This window comes from Homo sapiens, chromosome 9 (genome assembly GCF_000001405.40).
Source record: "Homo sapiens chromosome 9, GRCh38.p14 Primary Assembly".
NCBI classification, from domain to species: Eukaryota; Metazoa; Chordata; class Mammalia; order Primates; family Hominidae; genus Homo; species Homo sapiens.
The window spans coordinates 130,484,465-130,504,867 of record NC_000009.12 but is presented as its reverse complement, the minus strand read 5'-3'; the positions used below and the strand labels follow the sequence as shown (position 1 = coordinate 130,504,867).

At 51.8% G+C, this 20,403-nt stretch overlaps 1 protein-coding gene across 2 annotated transcripts in view, besides 2 other annotated features; it reads right to left on the bottom strand.

The window, feature by feature from the left end:
• Positions 2,912-3,206: an enhancer, noted in NCBI's record as "tiled region #5386; HepG2 Activating non-DNase unmatched - State 17:Gen3', and K562 Activating DNase matched - State 10:DNaseD". NCBI's record gives its function as "activates a minimal TATA promoter and a strong SV40 promoter by Sharpr-MPRA in HepG2 and K562 cells {active_cell/tissue: HepG2 | K562}" and the evidence as "EXISTENCE:reporter gene assay evidence [ECO:0000049][PMID:27701403]".
• ASS1 (argininosuccinate synthase 1) overlaps positions 3,594-20,403 on the bottom strand; it is a 56,568-nt gene continuing 39,758 nt past the window's right edge. For both annotated transcript variants that reach the window (NM_000050.4, NM_054012.4), the window contains 4 exons: positions 15,404-15,535; positions 9,845-10,001; positions 5,298-5,363; positions 3,594-3,892 (listed from right to left, as the gene is read on the bottom strand). In NM_000050.4, the coding sequence (NP_000041.2) occupies positions 3,847-3,892; positions 5,298-5,363; positions 9,845-10,001; positions 15,404-15,535 (401 nt within the window). In that variant the 3' untranslated portion in view covers positions 3,594-3,846. The remainder of the gene's footprint in view (positions 3,893-5,297; positions 5,364-9,844; positions 10,002-15,403; positions 15,536-20,403) is intronic.
• Positions 6,587-7,088: an enhancer, noted in NCBI's record as "H3K27ac hESC enhancer chr9:133373167-133373668 (GRCh37/hg19 assembly coordinates)". NCBI's record gives its function as "activates a minimal SCP1, AML or CMV promoter by ChIP-STARR-seq in naive H9 embryonic stem cells {active_cell/tissue: H9 hESC(naive)}" and the evidence as "EXISTENCE:reporter gene assay evidence [ECO:0000049][PMID:30033119]".

Below are 20,403 nucleotides of genomic sequence, written 5' to 3'. Positions count from 1 at the left end.
ACTTTGTCTATTCAATGGAATGAAGGGCATCAGAAAAAGAAATATATGGATAAATATAAGATAAACTCTTTTCTTATTTTTAATCTTTATTTATTATTATTATGATTTTTTGAGGCAGAGTCTCATTCTGTCACCCAGGCTGGAGTGCAGCGGTGCAATCTCAGCTGTTTATTTTTATTTTTTGAGACAGAGTCTTGAGATGTTGCCCAGCCTAGGGTACAGTGCTGTGATCACACCTCACTGCAGTCTCTACCTCCCAGGCTCATGCGATCCTCCCACCTCAGTCTCCTGAGTAGCTGGAACCACCAGCATGTGCTACCACACTTGGCTAATTTTAAAATTTTTTGTAAAGATGGGGTCTCCCTATGTTGCCCAGGCTGGTCTTGAATCCCTGGGCTTAAGCAATCCTCCTACCTTGGCCTCCCAAAGTGCTAGGATTATAGGCATGGCCCACCATTATTTTTCATCTTTTAAAATCTTTTTTTTATTTTTATTTTTAATCTTTTAAAAGTGATATTTGACTGTCTAAAGCAAAAATAATAGCAATGTATTATGGGATTTTGTAGCATATGTATGACAACAAAAGCATAAAGTGAAATGTTCTAGGCTCGTACTGTCGCAGAGTTCTTATGTTACACTCGAGGTGGCATACTATTAATTGAAGGTAGACTGTGGTAAGTTAAAGATATATAAAATAACTCTCAGAGAGGGCACTAAAAAAGCCATAACTAATAATTAAGTATAGCTAATAACCAATTCTTAAAAACATTCCATTAAATTCAACAAAAGGGCTGGGCATGGTGGCTCATGCCTGTAATCCCAGCACTTTGGGAGGCTGAGGCAGGTGAATCACTTGAGCCCAGGAGTTTGAGGCCAGCCTGGGCAACATAGTGAGACTCCATCTCTATTTATTTAAAATATAAAAGATAAATTCAACAAAAGGCAGAAAAATAATTTAGAATATGGAGAGAACTAAATATATAAATGGGGAAAGGTTAAGTTAGGGAGTATCAATGTTAACAAAATATTATGTAATCGCTGAAAATGTTTAAGGAGTTTTAAAAATTTATTTATTTATTTATTTTATGGAGATGGGGTCTCGCTATGTTGGTCAGGCTGGTCTTAAACTCCTGCACTCAAGCGATCCACCCACCTCGGCCTCCCAAAGTGCTGGGATTATAGGCATGAACCTCTGCGCCCAGGCTTAAGGATTGAGTTTTTAAATGTTATAGGAAAGCATTTATGATATGTTAAAATTTTAAAAATAGGGTGCAAAGTATATACATTAAAGCATAAATATATAAAGTTTATACTTTATTATTATTATTTTTTGAGACGGAGTCTCGCTCTGTCACCCAGGCTGGAGTGCAGTGGCGCAATCTTGGCTCACTGCAAGCTCTGCCTCCCAGGTTTACACCATTCTCCTGCCTCAGCCTCCTGAGTAGCTGGGACTACAGGTGCCCACCACCGTGTCCGGCTAATTTTTTGTATTTTTAGTAGAGACGGGGTTTCACCGTGTTAGCCAGGACAGTCTCAATCTCCTGACCTCATGATCCGCCTGCCTCGGCCTCCCAAAGTGTTGGGATTACAGGCATGAGCCACCGTGCCCGGCTAAAGTTTATACTTTAAAGTATAAAGTATACATTTATAACTATAAAATATAAAGCATTTATACTTTAGCCTAAATAACTGCAAAAATATTGTAAGCATAGGAAAAAATATATGTGCATTATAGGATGTTTAGCCAAAAAACAAAAAAAGAAAAGAAAAAGACATATGACTGATAATATACCAAATGTGGCTGGGCGTCGTGGCTCCTGCCTGTAATCCCAGCACTCTGGGAGGCCGAGGCCAGGCTGGTCTCAAACTGGCTGGTCTTGAACTCGTAGCCTTGTGATCCACCCGCCTCGGCCTCCCAAAGTTTTGGGATTAAAGGGGAGAGCCTCCGTGCCTGGCTAGTTATTTCTTTTCTTAAAGATGCAGCTTATCACTATGGTTAAAGACATAATGGCCAGGTGCAGTGGCTCACGCCTGTAATCCCAGCACTCTGGGAGGCCGGAGGTGGGTGAATCACCTGACATCAGGAGTTCGAGACCAGCCTGACCAACATGATGAAACTCCGTCTCTACCAAAAATACAAAAATTAACCAGGCGTGGTGGTGGGCGTCTGTAATCCCAGCTACTCAGAAGGCTGAGGCAGGAGAATCGCTTGAACCTGGGAGGCGGAAGTTGCAGTGAGCCGAGATTGCGCTACTGCATTCCAGCCCGAGTGACAGAGCGAGACTCCATCTTAACAACAACAACAAGACAAACGCACAAGATTTGGGGACTCAGCCAGGCCGGGGTTTGGTTCTTGGTTCTGTCACTTGCTAGCTCAGTGGCTTTTGGCAAGTCAGTTTATCTGCAGCTTCGTTGCTACCTCTACATTATGGAGATGAAAGTGTCCACCTCCAAGTGTGGTTTTGAAGATTCAATGAGATAATGTGAATAAAGTGTGTAGCGAAGTGTTTGGCACAAAGCTAATATTGAGTCATTTATTATTACCACGGACATTAATAATCAGAGGAAAATAAGTTTTAAAGGTAAAACTTCTTTTGCGAGAAACCCTCATGGACACAGGCAGCGGAGTGGCGAAGCGATCCCTGAGGTCAGGTTCTGAGTTCAGAACCAGGGCAAAGCACAGAGCAAGCGGCACTCAAGTCTTCCCAGTGAAGATGCTTTTGGTTGCAAGGAGCAGAAACTCTCTCACTGAGCTGGAGTCCTGAATTCGTTATGATATCAGGTGTCAGGGAAACCAGGCCAAGAGATGCCACCAGCTTTCATGAAGCACCAGTACAGAAATATGGACGCCAATACCATGACCCTCTCTTCCCATCTCTTCCCTCTCCTTTCCTTCTACACCTGCTCTGTGCCCCAGGTCCACAGCATCCCAGCGGTGAGTGCCTGTGTTACATGTCCTCACTTCGGCCACGTGCCGAGGCCCAATTCCTGCGGGTTCTGATTGGCCAGCTCGAGTCAGGTGTCCATCCACGGTCCAATCAGATATGACCAAGGGGGGCCAGGGCCACACTACAAACATGGCTGCTTTAGGGCCTGGTTTGTGGACAATGAGAAATGCTGCCAAGTTCCGGGCTTGCTCTTTTCTCCTCTCTGCTCAGGCCTCTCCCTCCTCCTTCATGATTTAGGCTGCTTTAGGCCATGCAGCTGTGGTAAGTGTCCTAGGGTCACTCATGGCCACCCTCTATAGAAGCTCCCTGTGGGCTGTGAGTAAAAGTGATGTCCAGAGAAAGGGCTGTGCGTTGATGCCCCCAAAGGGCATTCCCTGAATTTTATTTGGTTTCCTGACATTTGCCACAGGACCACAGTTGGTGACAGATTCCCAGGATGCTGGCTAGGATCGGACCCAGGCGGCACTTCTGGATTCCTAGTTTTTGCTGGAGAGGGGTCGACTGCCAGATTAACAGGCTGTCTGGCAAATGGCGGCCTTCGGCAGCACTTAGGTCCGAAAACACAAAGGTTGGCCTAAGAAAACCATAATTAACTACACACACACACACACACACACACACACACACACACACACACACACTCACTAGAAATAAAAGACTAGTGTCTCTTTTAATTGTCATTTTTATAGCTCCCCACCGCAGCTGCCCCCCACCCTTCCCTTCGATGACAACGTTTGCAGGCTTCAGGGGGACCAGGGAACAAAGCTGGGGCCTGGCAGCCCCACTACGCTGCCAGCCGGGGAGAACAAGTCACAATTACAAATTATCACAACAATTAGCGCCTGTACTTGGGGGATCTGCAAATTGAGGAGGCCCCAGCTCCTCATTGTACACGGGTCTATTTGGCAGTGACCTTGCTCTGGAGACGATGATATTCCTTCAGCCTGTAAACCAGATTCAAAACAAAGAAAAATGTAAATTAACAATAACAACACACACTGGGTTCAATTAATTCAGGCAGAGCTGGGGTGGCTGGGGCAGCTGTTTGTTAAGATGTGTGTGAAGTTGCCTTTTTTTCTATTCCCTCTCCCGCCCTGGCCCCTCCTGCCCTCCAATCAGGATAATGTAATTAATTTATCTTAGGGGGAAAACATTGTTTGTCATTGTTGAAGACAAAGCGTTTAACTGGCAATAGGAGAAATGAAGAGGCCACTATGTAAGCCCTGTTTGTTCTGGGCCATTTAAAAGGGTTTATAGAGTCATAAAATACAAACAGAGGGCGCAGGAGGCAGGGGAGGTGGAGGTGACGGAGGGGAAGGGAGAGGACCCTGGGCAGATGGGCGGGCTTCAACATCTCTCGGGGCATGAGGTGCCTCCAGGGACAAGAGACTGGCTCTGGGAGAAAATGATGGCTCTGTGCCCAGGGCATGTTGTTAGCAAGAGGAGACTGACTTGCATCTTCTTCTAGACTCCAATCCCCATGAGAAGGGAGCTGGTGATGGAGAACCCACAGCAGGACAGGCCCTCCGGACTCAGCTCCACCACCTCCTAGCTGTGTGACCCTTGGAAAGTTACTTAACCACTCAGCCTGTTCCCGGGGAGTTGCAAATTTTGTGTAAGAATTAAATGAGACATCCTAGGAGAGTGTCCCAGAGCAGCTTAGTCTATGTTAGCTGCTGGTGACAAACGACCCTGTTTGCCCTTGAGCACACCGGCCCTGGGCTGAGTGTGCTTGCTGCTGGCACTGCCCCTGGCTCTTCCTGCATGCCAGGGTCTAAGCCTGAGCCGCATGCTTGATTTCCACAGGCTCATATTGAACCTTCACTGCATCTGTGAGGCAGGTACAGCTGACACTCTTACTGGTGACTCACAGAGGATCAAAGGTCTGAGTGACTTCAGATGACGTGCACCACCCTCCTGGGCCATGGAGATCCACGTGGCTAGGATGGCTTCCAGCTAGACCTACAGCTCAGGTATGGTGACAGAAAACAAAGGCTTCTCTCCACCTCTATGCTATTTCCTTGTTTAACCTGCCCTGCAAAGGAGCTCATAGTGGAGTCCCTGTGGCTTAGCGGGAGGGGAGGGCAAGTATCAGAGGCACCCGGTGGGACACAGGAACCTAGGACCCCAATGCCTAGGACCCTCTGTTACTGTCGGCTATCAAAGCATGCTTCTGAGGATGCTATGGGCAGATGGACAGGAAAGTGGGGTTTGTCTAGGGCAGGGCAGGGCAGGGCAGGGCAGCAGTCAAGGTCGCATCAAAGCCTACCCTTTACACCTGGGGGCTCTCAAAGCCTACCCTTTACACCTGGAGGCTCTGAAGGCCCGTCAGGGCCCTGAGCTTCTCACCTGAGGGAATTGATGTTGATGAACCCGGTGGCATCAGTTGGCTCATAATCACCCTGCACGTTCATGCTGCAAGGAGAGTAGAAGCTTGTCAGCTCAGCCTGGCCCTGGCCTCTGCTTGAAGGGAGGACTGCTGGGGCCAGAAGCAGCCCCACCTCCCAGATGCCAGGGCATTTCCCCTGTGTGGGTCCAAACCCTCCCTGCACGTCGGCTTTCCATTGAATTTCTGTACAACTCAGGGAACCCTGTTCTGGGCCAGGCACCCACCCAAAGGTTGGAGAGCCCTAGTGGAGCACACAGCAGCCTCTTCCCTGCTACACAATGTGGCAGGAGGCTAGGAGCAGCCACCCCAGAACTAGCCCTATGAATTCCACCAACCAGAGCACTCTGTCTGTAAATGGGTAACTCGTCCAAGCCAGCTGTGCCCTTGGGACTGTGTGGATGGCATGCAGTGACCTGAAGGCTCAGGAGGCCTTGGGGTGTGAATTGCAATAGCACAAGGGCATTTCGCAAGCTGCAGGGAGGCCTCCAGCATTCACAGCGAGATGGGCCCACCAAGTCACCTTTCCCCTCATGTGTCCAACCAGTTAGACCTTACCTAATCCATCCTGAAACCTGGGCACCCACTGCCAGTGTGTCATGGAAAATGCTGGGTTGACTGCTGCTGTACTCAGCAGAGCAGATTTTACCTCTCTACAGTTTCCACCTCTCAGACTCACCAGCCTTCTGCTTTGGGGCTCTCCACCCTTAGCTGCTCCTCCCAACCTTCCTAACCATGGCAGTCACTCCAGCCAGCTGACTGGGGTTTGCGTCCTGTTTCCGCCACCCGCCACCAGAGAGCCCAGGCCAGTATTCCTGCACTCGGAGCCTCAGCCTTGCACTTGTGAAATGCGTGATGGTGGTTAGCTCTCAGTGTCACATTTGGCCCCACATGAAATAATGTAGCTGGTGCCTGGCACATGGTGAGCACCCACTAGTACTAACAGTATTCATTCACTCATTCATTTGTTCAGGCATTTATTAAGCCCTTGCTGCCTGCCAGATGCTGGGCCAGGTGCCAAGGAAGGAAGAGCAAGAGTGGTGTCCACAGGGAGGGGCCAGACCGAAGCAATCAATCACCCATTGCCTTCATTAATTATGGTTGTGCTAAGCACTTAGGGCACGTGGACTCAGATGCCTCCTACTCCACAAGGCCAGCCTCTGAGCCTCTGAGAGGATGGGGTCCCTTGTCATGTCCTGCTCTGAATCAGACCCTTGTCTGCAGAATTCCAGCCTTGGGACAAAGCTGACTCAAGGTTCTCGAGGTAGGGGTAGCGGGGGTCGGTGTTGGGAGGCAGGAGGATCTGCTGCTTTGAGACCCTGAGGCTGGCCCTCTGACTGGTTCTTTGTAGACAGTGGACTTTTTACAAGAACAAATGAGGTCTCTGCATCTGCCTGGCCCCAGTGATTTGTTCAGGACCCGGGCCCTGACCTTCACCAGGCCTTGAAGCCGGTGGGTGCGTGGAACTCTCTGCAGAGTCACTCCCATGCTCCTGTACCTCCTTGATGTCCCTTCCTCCCTCCTCCACACCTCCACGGCCCCTCCAGGGCTCAGGCACTGAAGCCACTAGGAGCTTGCATTCCCTGGAAGAGGAGGAGATACCAGACTTTTGCTGGCCACCCCTTTCTGTGCAGTCAGTGCTTAGGAAGAGCTAGACCAAACTAGACCACCAACCTCCTCAGATCCCTTCAACAGACCTTGTTTTAGAAACCGAGCCTCAGCCCCACTGGCCCCTATACTCAGCCCAGGGAGAACGTAGGACACAGAATCCCCCCACCTCTGTGTCCATCTGTCCCTTCACCTCCATCTCTCACAAGTCACAACAAACTCTCCCCATCCCGTTCCCCAAGGTGGGAACTTCCCAGCTGCCCTGGCAGCCCCTGCAAAGAGGGCCCACATCCAGGGACAAACTTGTCCCACGAGGCTGCTGGGAGTTCCAAGAGGGGTTTCTCAGGAACTAAAAAACCTCTTTTTAAAATTGTGGTTTGAAGTGAGCGGGGAGGTGGAAAAAGAGTTTACAATGATTTTTTTCTTTTTTTTTTTTTACCTCCCCTGACGGTCTACAGAAAACCTCTGTGCTTTTATTTTTGCTCATTCGAGTGGCTCTGACCTGCTCTATAATTACGTTACTTTCTACCTACTGAGCCACGGCATTTCCAGCTCTGCTACCTCTCACGGCTTCCTCGCTGGTCCCTGTGACGCTGTCACTCAAGGGCTTTCAAGTCAGCGATGTAGAAATCAAAAAGAAAAGGGAAATGGTCGGAGACACAGTGAGAATAAATGCTCCTGCTTTTCTCTCTTTTTTCCCCTTTCCCTTTTTACTTTATTCATTTAATCTCCCTGAGTGAGACTGTAAGGCTTAATGAAGGGTTGGACAGATTATTAGAGGCTGTTGATTTGGAGGGGGAGGGAAGAAAGAGCCAGAGAGAGAAAGAGAGAAGATAATTTGACATTTACCCCAACTGATCTAAACTGACTCAGTTGTATTTATGGCTTATAAAGTGTTTAGAAAGATTGAAGCGGGGAGAAACTCAACATGGCAAGGAGAAGGGAAAGAAAAAAATAATATTGACTGCCAAACAAGACTCGTACTTTAATTCCCAACCAGCCTCCAGGAGGGAGGGGCTGGCCTTAGCCTGAGCTAAGCTGGGCCTTAGGGGACCCACGTCTAGTGGGGGCTGTCTGTCCCACAGGGGCCTGCCCCATCTCTAGTTTGGCCAGGTGACCTCTGGAGGTGACACCTCGTCCCTTGGTGCAGGTCACTCTCATCCACGGGGCGGACACAGGAGTGGCCAATCGTTACCTGCCACCTTTGCCCTGGCTCACCAGGGCCCTCCTGCCCCTCCAGGGGCTCCTCCTTGGCCACCTTCTGCCTGGTCCATCAATGAGAAATCTCATGGTTCCAGTTGTGTTTCCTTTTTTTTTTTTTTTTTTTTTTTTAAAGAGACAGTGCCTAGCTTTGTTACTAAGGTTAGAGTGCAGCGGTGCAATCCTGGCTCACTGCAGCCTCCAGCTCCTGGGCTCAAGTGATCCTCCTGCCTCAGCCTCCTGAGTAGCTGGGACTACAGGTGCATGCCACCACACCTGGCTAATACTTTATGTATTTATTTTTTGAGACAGGGTTTTGCTGTGTTGCCCAGGCTGGAGTGCAGTGGCATGATCATGGCTCAATGCGCCCTTGATCTCACAGACTCAAGAGACGCTCCCACCTCAGCCTCCCAAGTAGTTGGGACCACGAGCACATGCCACCACGCTTAGCTAATTTTTTTATTTTTAGTAGAGATGAGGTCTCACTATGTTGCCCAGGCTGGTCTTGAACTCCTGGCCTCAAGCGATCCTCCTGCCTTGGCCTCCCAAAGAGTTGGGATTACAGGTGTGCACCATCTTGCCTGGCTAGTTCCCTTCTTGTCTCACTCCACGCTTTCCCCTAGGCAGTCTCTCTTGGCCCAGCGCTTCAGAGAACATCAAAATGCCTATGATGCTCCAGGGTCTTCAGCCTGGGTTCTCCTCAACTCTAGACCCAAGTGTCCGGCGGCCTTCCAGTTAGTTTTTCCCAGCTATCTCAAAAGAAACCCATACTCATGACACCTAAATCCAAATGCATGATCCTTCCTCAAGAGCATTTCCTCAACCCAGGGACTGCACCCAGCTGCTCACGACCCCAGACACCAGGGTGATTCTGGACCCTCCATCTCCCTCCACATCCAAGTCATTTCAATCCCTCCTCCTAGATATGTGTCACATTCGCCTGCTGCTATCTAGTCCAGGAATCATCAGCATGGTCCAAGCTACCGCATTTCCACAGGTGCCCTTCCACCTCCCACCTACTCAAATCCGTTCTCCAGAGCAGCCAGGAGGACCCTCTAAATGCACAGATCTGATCTTGCCCTTCCCTTTAAGATCTAGCTTCAGCTCCTTCCCCCTGGCCACTTTTGCCCTTCCACCCCTCCCCCCATTCACCTGTTAACTCCTTCTGCTATTGTTTGAATAGCAAAGGAGCTTCTTCACAACCCCAATTATTTTATATATATATGTGTGTGTGTGTGTGTGTGTGTGTGTGTATATGTATGTGTATATATATATATATATGTATGTGTGTGTGTATATATATTTTTTTGAGACAAGGTCTTTCTATGTTGCCTAGGCTGGTCTTGAACTCCTGGGCTCAAGCAATCTTCCCACCTCGGCCTCCTGAGTAGCTGAAATTACAGGCATGCACCACCCCTCCTAGCCAATCCCAGTTATTATACCCAGCCAGACTATCCTGCATTCCTCACAGCCCGCTGCCACCTTGTCTAATTCTACATTCTGGTAATGGTTTGATCCATGCCTTTCTCCCAGCTAGCCTGTAAGTTCCACGGGAGCATAGTGGTGTCTATATCCTCTGTGACCATCACTCTGTGCTCTGCATGGTGCCTGACATGTGCTCAGGCACAGATGTCTTGAGGATCCAGTCAAAAGATAGGCTCTGTGCCCAAGTGGGGGTCAGAATGAGGTGTGGGGCACCTACCTCACCAGCTCCTCATTGTAGAGAGACAGTGGGGACTCCCGGCCGAGGATGTACACCTGGCCCTTGAGGACGGACACCTGCACTTTCCCTTCCACTCGCTCCTGGGACTTGGCGATGCAGTGGCGGACAAATTCACACTCAGGGCTGTGCCAGAAACCTACAGGGAGGAAAACAGGATACCACTAGGGAGGCCTCCTGCACCGCGAGGACACAGGGAGACCTGGGGCACAGGAAGGGTGCCCCATGGTTTACCCCGCCATGCAGACCATGACTGCCTCCCGCGAGACTGGCACAATGTGCGCTTGCCAGTGGCTGAGTTGAGGACCATGCTTTCATAGCCCTGCCCTCTAACCTTGCAAAGGGCCTGTGGGTAAGGAGGTGACCACCTAGGTCATTTCCCTAAGGGTCAGGAGGAGGGAAGTGACCCACTGCTTCATGCCATAGGCATTCAGGAAGTGCCACAGGCCAGCAACTGGGGACACAGTGGTAAAGGGACCCCATCCCTGGCCCAATGGAGGCTCTAATCTCCGGGGGAGGCAGAAGACCTCAGACAGGACTCAGAGGCACATGCTGCCTGGGGCTTGGTGATATGGGTGTCCAGTGCAGGCAGCTGGGTGGTGGTTCAGACCATGGCCATGCATAGCCTTCCCCTCTCTGTGCCTCTGTTTCCCCATCTGTTGAGTGGGGATGTCACAGTAATATTTCATGTGGAGCCCCTAGCACTGAGCAGCACCAGCCTTAGGGGCTACTGTGAACTGGAGTCCTGGCCAGAGCCCACCCCTTGGAATCAGTGAGCTGTTTTCTGCACCTGCTGCTGTTTTCCTGGGCAGATAGAATATTTCTGCATAGATAAGCAGCACTGCGCTCAGGCTTTGATCTGGGCTAGCTCCCTGAATCCTCATAGACAGCACTCTGAGAGAAACTCTCTTAGCCTCTCCCCTTTCTGGGTGAGGAAGGGAGGCTCAGAGAAGTTAAGAAACTTCTCCAGGATCACACAGGCCGGAAGTGGGGAGCCTCCATTTGACTTGTGTTGGCCCAAGTTGTAACAACTCTGCTTCCTATGATAAACTTGGAGCTTTCTCTATGGCCAGAACATCCCTTGGTGTGTAGGTGGGGGCAGGAGGTGCCTGAGAAACATGCTCCCTCCCCTCTCCCCGAGAGCCCTAAAGGCCAGGGAGGGGTAGCGCTCAGACCCCAGTCTGCCCCCGGCCTCTCTCTAGCCTCTGCTGATGGAGGCTGGGACCAAGGGGCAGGCAGGCAGGCAGGCAGGCAGGCCATGGCGGGGGGAGGGACAGGGCAAGGCTAGAGTTTCCTGAAATGGAGCCTGGAAGGTGAGCCCACCTGGGCAGCTGCAGGGCCAGATGGCGCATGATCTCCTGCCCTGATAAAGGGCTGGGTCAGCCCAGGGGCTGCGGCTATTGTGGGAGGCCCAGGCCCCTGGGGGCACCTGCAGAGGTCCTCCGTGGGAAAGGGGACAGGCTTCTGGGATGGGGTCCTGGGGCTTGCAGAGGCGGGGGAGGGCCAAGCACGGAGAGTAGAGGTTGAGTCCTTGCTCTCCAGTGTCCCACCCTGTGAGTCCGCATCCCAGCCACACCTGGACAAGTGATTAACCTCCCTGTGCCTCGGTTTCCTCATTTGCACAGTGAGAAAACATTGCTAACCAGAGGTTGTGTGGATGCAGTGAGGGAATGCACAGAGCGCAAAGCGTTTTGCATTTGCAGTTTGAACATGATGCTCTGTGCCAGCCCTCACTGTACACAGGGAGAGAGGCCCAGAGAGGGAAAGAGCCTGTCCAAGGCCACACAGCAAGACTTTGGAAGAGCCCAGGTCTGATGAAGCACTCCTAACTCTGGCCCAGGGCTTTTTCCAACACACCCCGAGACCCTCGTGGAGGGGGCCACTGATGTTCTCCCAGCCCCCCATGCCCTGGTGTCCTGGGCTTGGCCATCTTTCTGACGGAGCTGGGATAATTAGCCCATTAAGTTTCCAGGCCGGAAGACAGGCAGGAGATGGAGCCAGAGATAGGACAGAGATCTCTGTGGGAGCAACTGGCCTGGGCTTTATCTCAGAATTTTCTACCTCTGCCCCACAGGGTTCTTCTGCTCAGATTTCTTTTCCCAGCGGACCCAGCCTGGGTTGGGGGCCAGTGAGCCTGGCATAAGCTGCAATGGGGGAGACCCTGCACCCCCCAGACCTGCAGATCACTGTGGGTGGGGCTTAGGGCTGAGCTGGAGAGGGACCCCTCCCCCGTGCTGCTAGGCCCAGCCAAACACATGCGATCCTTTCTAACTGGAGCAATTCTGTGTGAGTTGCACATTATACCCATTTTATTGCTGAAGAAATGGAGGTGAGGGGAGAAGAAGTGAGCTATACCCCCTAGATGAGATGCTCCTCTGGGCCCTGCCAGGGTCCTGAAGCTGGGGTCCTGCCAGGCTAACCCTGGTTGCCACTCCTGGAGACAGTCTGCCTGAAGCTCACACAGCCAGACCAGGAAATTTGGGAATGGTGGGAGAGGAGAGGGAGCCAGCCAGCCACACACAGACACACAGATGCAGAGTGGCAGTGGTCACAGAACCTAGGGCCTCTAGGAGTGAGGCTGGGGCAGGAGGGCTTCCCTGTGCCTCAGTCTCCCTATCTGTGCCGAGACCACAAGGGCTCTGAGGAAGCCAAGCATTACAGCAGAATGGTGGGCTTTCCACCCAGGAGCTAGACGGGACTGGGAAGAGACCCTGGCGTGCCCTCAGCCTGGTGCCCTTTATTTGACAGGAGGGGAAACTGAGGCTCAAGGAAGAGACAGCCCTGCTCAAGACCATTAACCCAGCCAGAGGCAAGACTCCAAGTGCCGCGCCTCCACACTGGGAAACCACGCCGGGCGCTCGCAGTTATTTCACGCACTGGAATAAGCACTCGTCTGCCAGACATTGTTCCAGGTGCTTTACAAATACTCATACTTTTAGTCCTCACCCACCAGACAGGTAGAACTGTTATTCCCACTCTTCAGATGGGAAAACTGAGGCCTAGGGAAGTTAAGTAACATGATCAGGCAAAGCCCTGGTCTATACCATGTCTGTATCCCTCATGGGGAAAATCGCATCAAACAGGCCCTCTGAGCTGTGGGGGTCAGCCTGCTGCCCGAGGCCGATCTTGATGTTTGTGGGGCCCTGCATGTCAGCGGACCAGGGCAAAGTTAATATTAGTGATAACTACCCAGAAGAAGCCCCTACTCTCCCTCGCCTCCACTCTGAGATTTTGTTTCCTTTTAAGTCTCCTAATCATTGTACCTCAGTTTGGGATGTAGAGGGCTTGTCGCTGGCTGTCAGAGCAGGGACTCAACCCAGCCAGTCCAGTGTAGAGGCATCGTGACCGCAGCCAGGAGCCAAACTGTGCCCTACACCCAGGGTTCCCCTGTCTGTGCCGCCGTGCCCCTTGATCACGAGCATCCTGGAATCTGTTGGAGTAACTGGGAACTTGGCCGCTACAGCTGGCCTGTCCCCGGCTCAAAGCTGCCCATCACCAGCCAGGAGAGCCTGGGTGAGTGTCTTCACCTGGGGGCCTCCGTTTCCTCACCTCTGCGCAGCTAATATTAGATAATACCCCATCAGGTGCCCAGCTCAGAGCCTAGCAGCAAGATGGCAGGATAAGTGGCAGCCGTGGCCGCGGCCACGGTGGGATCAGCCTCCGTGGAGGCCCCGGAGCAGCCCGGCCAGGTGCTCTCTCCTCCGCCACGTCTTAATGACTCTCTCACTTTGTAACTAAAATCCTCCTTTCGGGGTCGCAATCCCGCCGGGCTGGAAAGCCTGCAGGAGACAATGGTATTTAAGCACCTGTCTGTCCCTGGGAACGGGGGCAGAAACTTGGCTTCAAAGCTGCAAGGAACAATGGCAGGGAGAAATAACGCCAGCCAATAACCATCGAGCCCTCTCGAAATCCTGAGATGAGTTACAGTGATTAGGAGGCTTAAAAGGAAACAAAATCTGGGAGTGGAGGGGGAGAGGCGAGGGGAGGAGAGCTTAGCCCAGGTAGCTATTCGATTAACTAATACTAACTTTGCACAGGTCCCCTGACGTCCAGGCCCCCGAAGATGTGAGGATCGGCCTCAGGCAGCAGCCTGTCCTCCCACAGCTCAGGGCAGCTGTTTAATGTAACGCCCCAAATCAGGGCTATGTGTATGTTATGGAGGTGGGTGGGAAGGGCCAGAGAGTCAATATTTTAGGCTCTTTGGGTCCTATGGTCTCTCTCAAATGGCTCAACCTCCCCTTGCCGCTCCAGGGGAGCCACAGACAATGCAGAAACAGCCACCTCACCTGGCATGAGCCACCGTGCCCGGCAACACTTGAATTTTATATAATTTGTCATGAAATAGCATTAAAAAATTTTTTTTCCTCCCAACCATTTAAAAATGTAAAAACTGGCCAGACAGAGTGGCTCATGCCTGTAATCCTAGCACTTTGGGAGGCCAAGACGGGCGGATCACCTGAGATCAGGAGTTCGAGACCAGCCTGGCCAACATGGTGAAACCCCATCTCTACTAAAAATACAAAAACTAGCCAGGCATGGTGGCGCATGCCTGTAATCCCAGTCACTCAGCAGGCTCAGGCAGGAGAATCGCTTGAACCAGGGAGGCGGAGGTTGCAGTGAGCCAAGATCGCACCATTGCACTCCAGCCTGGGCAACAAGAGCGAAAGTCCGTCCCAAATAAATAAATAAATAAATAAATAAAATAAAAATGTAAAAACTATTCTTAGCTCATGAGCTGAACAAAAACAGGTGACGGGCTGGATTTGACCCAGGGACTGTAGTTTGGGGACCTCTGTTACACCACATGAGGGTTGGATTTTGGAGTCAGGAGGCCTGGATTCCAAGGCATGGAAACCCGGGCTCCTCACCTGCAAAACGGGGACACCCCCGCCTCAGGTGCTGTCACCCACCGGTCCTTCCACACATGGGCTGGGTGTGTGACAGGGCTCAGGCCCTGTGGCCACCCCAGTGGTTTCATGGTCAAGATCTGGCTCCTGCGGTACTGGGGTCTGGGGCTGAGTTCCTGGTCCAGGGAGCCTCTCCCTCAAGTTCATGGAGTAGGTCCAGGTTCTTCCTGGAGACAGCCTGACTTGGGGGTCAAACCCAGCTAGGCCACTTCTGGTTTTATGCTTTCCTTCTGAGCCTCAGTTTCCTCGTGTACAAGGAGCTGCAGACCTCCTGGGAAAGTTGTGAGGACCATGCGGGGTGATGCATGTCGCCGCACAGTGCCCAGTGCCTGGCATTGCTGCAGTCATGCAAACTGTAGGGGGTGGAAGCTGCCGGACACCTTGGGAAGCCGGTGCATCTCCCTGGACACACCCCATGGCAAGGCAGGTTCTAGCATCCCCTTGCTCCCTCATGCCCTGCACTTTCCCTCAACCCCCTTTGGCCTGCACCTTTTGGGGTCTCACATGAGGATGGCAGTGGGCGGCAGGGGAGGAAGGTGCTGATACGGAGGGGAGGGCCAGGCCCGAGAGCCTGATAGTACTTTGGGATCCCTTGTGAGGCGGTTAGAGGGGGCAGCCATAGAGTCTTACGCACCGGTATACACCAGCTCAGCAAATTTCAAGCCCAGGCCTTGTTTGATTTTGCGCACTTCCCGGTCCATGGTGAAGGCCTCGATGTCTAAATGAGCATGGTAAAGGATGGTGCCTGCTGGGGTCTCGTAGATACCTAGCCATTTTTCCAGGCAGGGGGAAAAGGAGAAAAAAGAGAGAAACGCATGAAACCCAAACTGTCAGCAAATGACAAAAAAAAAAATAATAATAATAATGAGTCGTCTGACAGGAGACAAGCCGGCCGGACCCATTCACTCCCAGCTTGCTGCAAAATGCATCTGTCATTATGTTCATGCTGGGGCCACGACAGTCCACTCTGCGGCTTGTGGAGAAAATGTCTAGATGCCCCCTTTGAAGGGGCCCTCAGACGCTAGAAAATGACAGGGTTTCGGAGCAGCAACCCCTCCCTCCCCATGCGTGCCCACCGGCCCGAGGTTGAAAGCCTGTAATTAAAGCGACTACGGTAGAGCCCAGAGCCCCAAATATCCCTTCTTCCCTTCCACCAGGGAGCCAGGGGAGGGGGACAGCTGTGCACATACATGTACACATGTGTACACACATGCCACCTTCAGCCCATGGGGCCCCTGCGGCCAGGTCTCTCCAGAGGCCACTGGGGTGGCAGAGGGCTTGGGCAATCACCTAGGCTGACCGCACCGTGCAGATGGGGAAACTGAGCTCAAGAGGAGAAGGGACTTGCTCTAGGTGGAGCTGGGAACTGAATGTAGGCCCCCGAGTCCCTCACCAGTGCTGTCTGCTGCCCTGTAAGTCACCTGGCCGTGGAGGCCCAACCCTGGAAGGTCAGGGGAGAAGGGATTGCTCAAGTCCCCTCTTGTGACCTCAGGCCCAGTCCCTCCATTTGGAAAACAACCTGCTTGGAACAGATGATCTCCGAGTGAGACAGAAATGCCTGGTCTTGGGCTGAGCTGGGTCTGGGGGAAGGTCCTACTGCATTGGAGGACAGTGGGGCACCAAGAGGCAGGACCGCCCACAGCACACAGCCCAGGCCCCCTCTTGCCCCAGGAGTGCGACCTCTCGCATCAACTTCAGAGCTGGCCCTTGGGCAAGCCTGCCCTGCAGCTGCTGTCTGGGTGGAGCAGGGGCCATAGCTCCCCCATCTCCATGGATTCTACCCCGAGAGCTTCCTTTCTTCCACCATACGTTACATCACTAAAAGGGCAGGTTCTCAGTTATCCTGGGAATTTACTAACATCTTTCTACAGTGGCTGCTTGAAAAAAACCCAGAAAGGATTTGTACACTCATGTTCATAGCAGCATTAATCACAATAGCCAAGAGGCGGAAGCAACCCAGGTGTCCATCGAGGGATGAGTGAAGAAGCAAAATGCAGTCCATCCATACGATGGAATATTATTCAGCCTTAAGAAGGAAGGGGGCCGGGCACAGTGGCTCATGACTGTAATAATTCTAGCACTTTGGGAGGCCGAGGCAGGTGGATCACCTCAGGTCAGGAGTTCAAGACCAGCCTGGCCAACATGGTGAAACCCCGTCTCTACTAAAAATAACAAAAAAATTTAGCCGGGCATGGTGGTACATGCCTGTAGCCCCAGCTACTTGGGAGGCTGAGGCAGGAGGATCACTGGAGCCTGGGAGGCAGAGGTTGCAGTGAGCTGATTTCACACCACTGCACTCCAGCCTGGGTGACAAAGCAAGACTCTGTCTAAAAAAAAAAAAGGAAGGAAATCCTGACACATGCCACAGCATCAACATAAGGCCGTGACGCTAAGTGACAAAGGCCAGGCACAAAAACAAACACTGTATGTTCCACTCATGCGAGGTCCCTCGAGTCATCAAAATCATACAGCCAGAAATGGTGGCTGCCAGGGGCCGGGGTAGGGAAAATGGGGAGTTTCATGGGGCCAGAGTCTCAGCTTTGCAAAAAGAAAATGTTCTGGAGGTGGACGGTAGTCACAGTGGCACAGCCCTGGGAAAGGACCTAATGCCGTTGAGCGGCACGCTTACGCATTTTAAAATGGTTCATTTTATGTTACATGTATTTTACCACAGTTTTAAATTAAAAAAAAAAAAAAACCATGAAGGATATTGGTTTTGACTCTGAAGCCTACCGGGGATCTGGGGAGGCTGAGTCTGCTGAGCCCTCGTGCACTAACCAGAAGTTTCCTCCTTGGAGAACTCCTCCAGTCTTTGATCTTTAAGTCTTAGAATCACGGAAATGTCAGAGCTTGCATTAGGATCAATCCGGTACCGTGTTCTCCCGACTGTTAGCTGCCAACCTAATATTCAAACAGCCTGCGGCAGAAGCCCAGCATATAGAAGAGATGGCAGAGGTTGTGCTGGGAGGAACAGAGGCCCCTCTGCAAACTCTGGACTCACCTTAAATCTAGTCCCACACACCAGTTTTACAAATGAGAACCTGAGGCCTGGGGAGGGGGGTGGCTTGCCTAATACCACCCAGCCAACTGGAGGGGGAATGGGCCCGGCCCCGGGGTCTCCCATCTCAGCTCCAGGTGGCCTCGAAGGGCCTTTGGCAAAGTGATCAACTGCTAACCAGAGCGTGAGAGAAAAAGCCCAAGTCCAGGCTGTTGCTGTGGAGGAAAAGCTTGGTTCTCACCATGGCTCCGTGTTCCTGGGCAGAAGGGAACCTCTCTGGGGGCTTGGTTCTCTCATCTGTAAACCCCTGATATACTGGTGTCAGGTGACATGCTTGTGAAAGCCCCTCAGAGCAACCAGGTGCAAATATGAGTATCGTGTGCTGTGAAAGAGCCCATCCCGCTTCATTGGTGGGGGCTGCAGCCTTCGGCATGTCCACCGTCTGAATCTAGTTGTGACCTCTGATTAGGAAATGGCCTCTCTCCAAGTTTATGCAGAGATCCAAGCCCTCAAATCCCTCGGGAGTTCCTCAGGCCTCACCGTGACTCTTGTAAAACAGTTCAAATGGGTCCGTCATCATTTTCTGCAGAGTAGCTCAGAGCCACAAACCAGGAAGGGGTAAAAAGGCTGATGGCAGCAGAAACAGAGGAATGACTGAGAAAAGTCATTATAGACAGCCTGGAGAACAGGGACATAGAACTTAGCACAGGCCAGGTATGCGGGGGCTCACACCTGTAATCCCAGAACTTTGGGAGGCCAAGGAGGGAGGATTGCTTGAGCTGAGTCCAAGACCAGCCTGGGCAATATAGTGAGACCCCATCTCTACCAAAAAATTAAAAAAATTAGCTGGGCGTGGTGGCATGTGCCCGTGGTCCTAGCTACTACGCCAAGGTGGGAGGATCGTTTCAGCCCAGGAGTTCAAGACCAACCCAGGCAATATAGGGAGACCCCGTCTCTACAAAAAAATGGTAAATTAGCTGGGTGTGGTGGTGTATGCTAGGTGGGAGGATTGCTGGAGCCCAGGAGGTTGAGGCTGCAGTGAGTCATGATCGTACCACTGCACTACAGCCTCGGTGACAGAACAAGACCCTGTCTGAAAGAGAAACAAAACAAAACATGATGACCGCACACAAACATGACAGTGCCAAAAAAGCCACCAGAAAGGGGAATGGTTCAGCAGTGTGTCCAGAAAGACCAGTGTGTGCAGAAACAGGAAATCTCTGTCTCCAAAATGGCAGATATAACGATAAAGTTCGAGGAGCAAATTTTCAATCAGCCTAGAAACCTTATTACCAGAAATAAAGCAATTTCCCAAGAGCACGACACTGACAAAGTCCTGCTGGTCCTCCATCCTGGCACATGCTAGAACTGGATACATATCGGGTTGGAAACAGGCCTTCTAGTGATTAGTTTGGGTACATTTTGGAAAATTCCAGAAACTTGCAAAGCCCATCCTTACACTGGCCACAGAGTCGTAATGGCGCCATCCTGGGTAGGCCGGTAGCAGGAGCCCTCCTCATTTTCAACTCCTAGACACCCAGGCCCGCCTCCCTGCTTTTCTGTCCTCAGCTCGGCCAACTGTAGGGCAGTCCAAACTACATTTGCAGGGCTGGAGCTGGGCACCAGGAGTCCTACAACCATGCTTTACAGAAAGTGCCCAGCTTGGCCTTTACAGAAGGTGCCCAGCTTGGCTTTGCTGTGTGACTTTGGCCGGTCTCAGCCCCCTCTCTTAGACCCAGGCAACCCATCTGGAAAACAAGAAGGCTGCAAGTTCCTGCTGCTCTGACATTCCAACTTCCTTTGGGACCTACCTCAAAGGTAAGTGTTCAGAGCGTCCTCCAGGTGTGCCCTACTTACTGACAGTCTTGTCTCGAGAACATTCGAGGCCACAGCATCGCCTCCCATCAGTCCAGAGAGGGGAGGGCGCAGGTGGGGTTCAGGGCTCGAGGAAGAGCTGTGACTTGTCCAAGGTCCTCCAGCTACTGGCCCATCACAGGTGTCCCCAGGAAAATGAGGCCAGTGCCACCGGGAGCAGAGAATGTCTGGTGGGCAGAGGCCAGGCAGAACCCTCCTCTTCCTGAGCCCCCAGCACCGGCTTCCTGGCTGCCACCCTCCCAGGCAGCCTCCGGAGGGCTCACGGGCAAGGGGAAAGGCTGCAGCCACAAAACACACCAGTGCAATTAATATTCCTGCTCCTTTTCTTCGAAAGTGTTAATTGTGACGGATCAAAAAACTTGTTTTTAGGTTGCTGCCGACGCGCGCGCGCGCACGTGTGTGTGTGTGTGTGTGTGTGTGTGTGTGCGTTTAAAGCTCTTCCCTCTCCTCTCCACAGGGGTAGGGGGTACAGATGATTTCTGTGTGTTTCTTCTGGAAAAAAAAAACAGTGACAGAAACCTGATGCTAAAAGACTATGAATTTGGGGCTTTTGACAGTCGGCATACAAACCACTGCGCAGAGAGAAGGAGGAAATGACAGCTGAGCCTCTGTGTTGCCGTGGAAGAGACAACGGACATCTTTGGAGTGACACACACAGCAGCTCCAAGTGTCTATTTTCATCTCCCCGTGTTTACAGGAAAAAGACAGAGGTGTCAGCAGTTCTCTGTGGAGCAGCTTCAATCACACCATAATTACTGCCA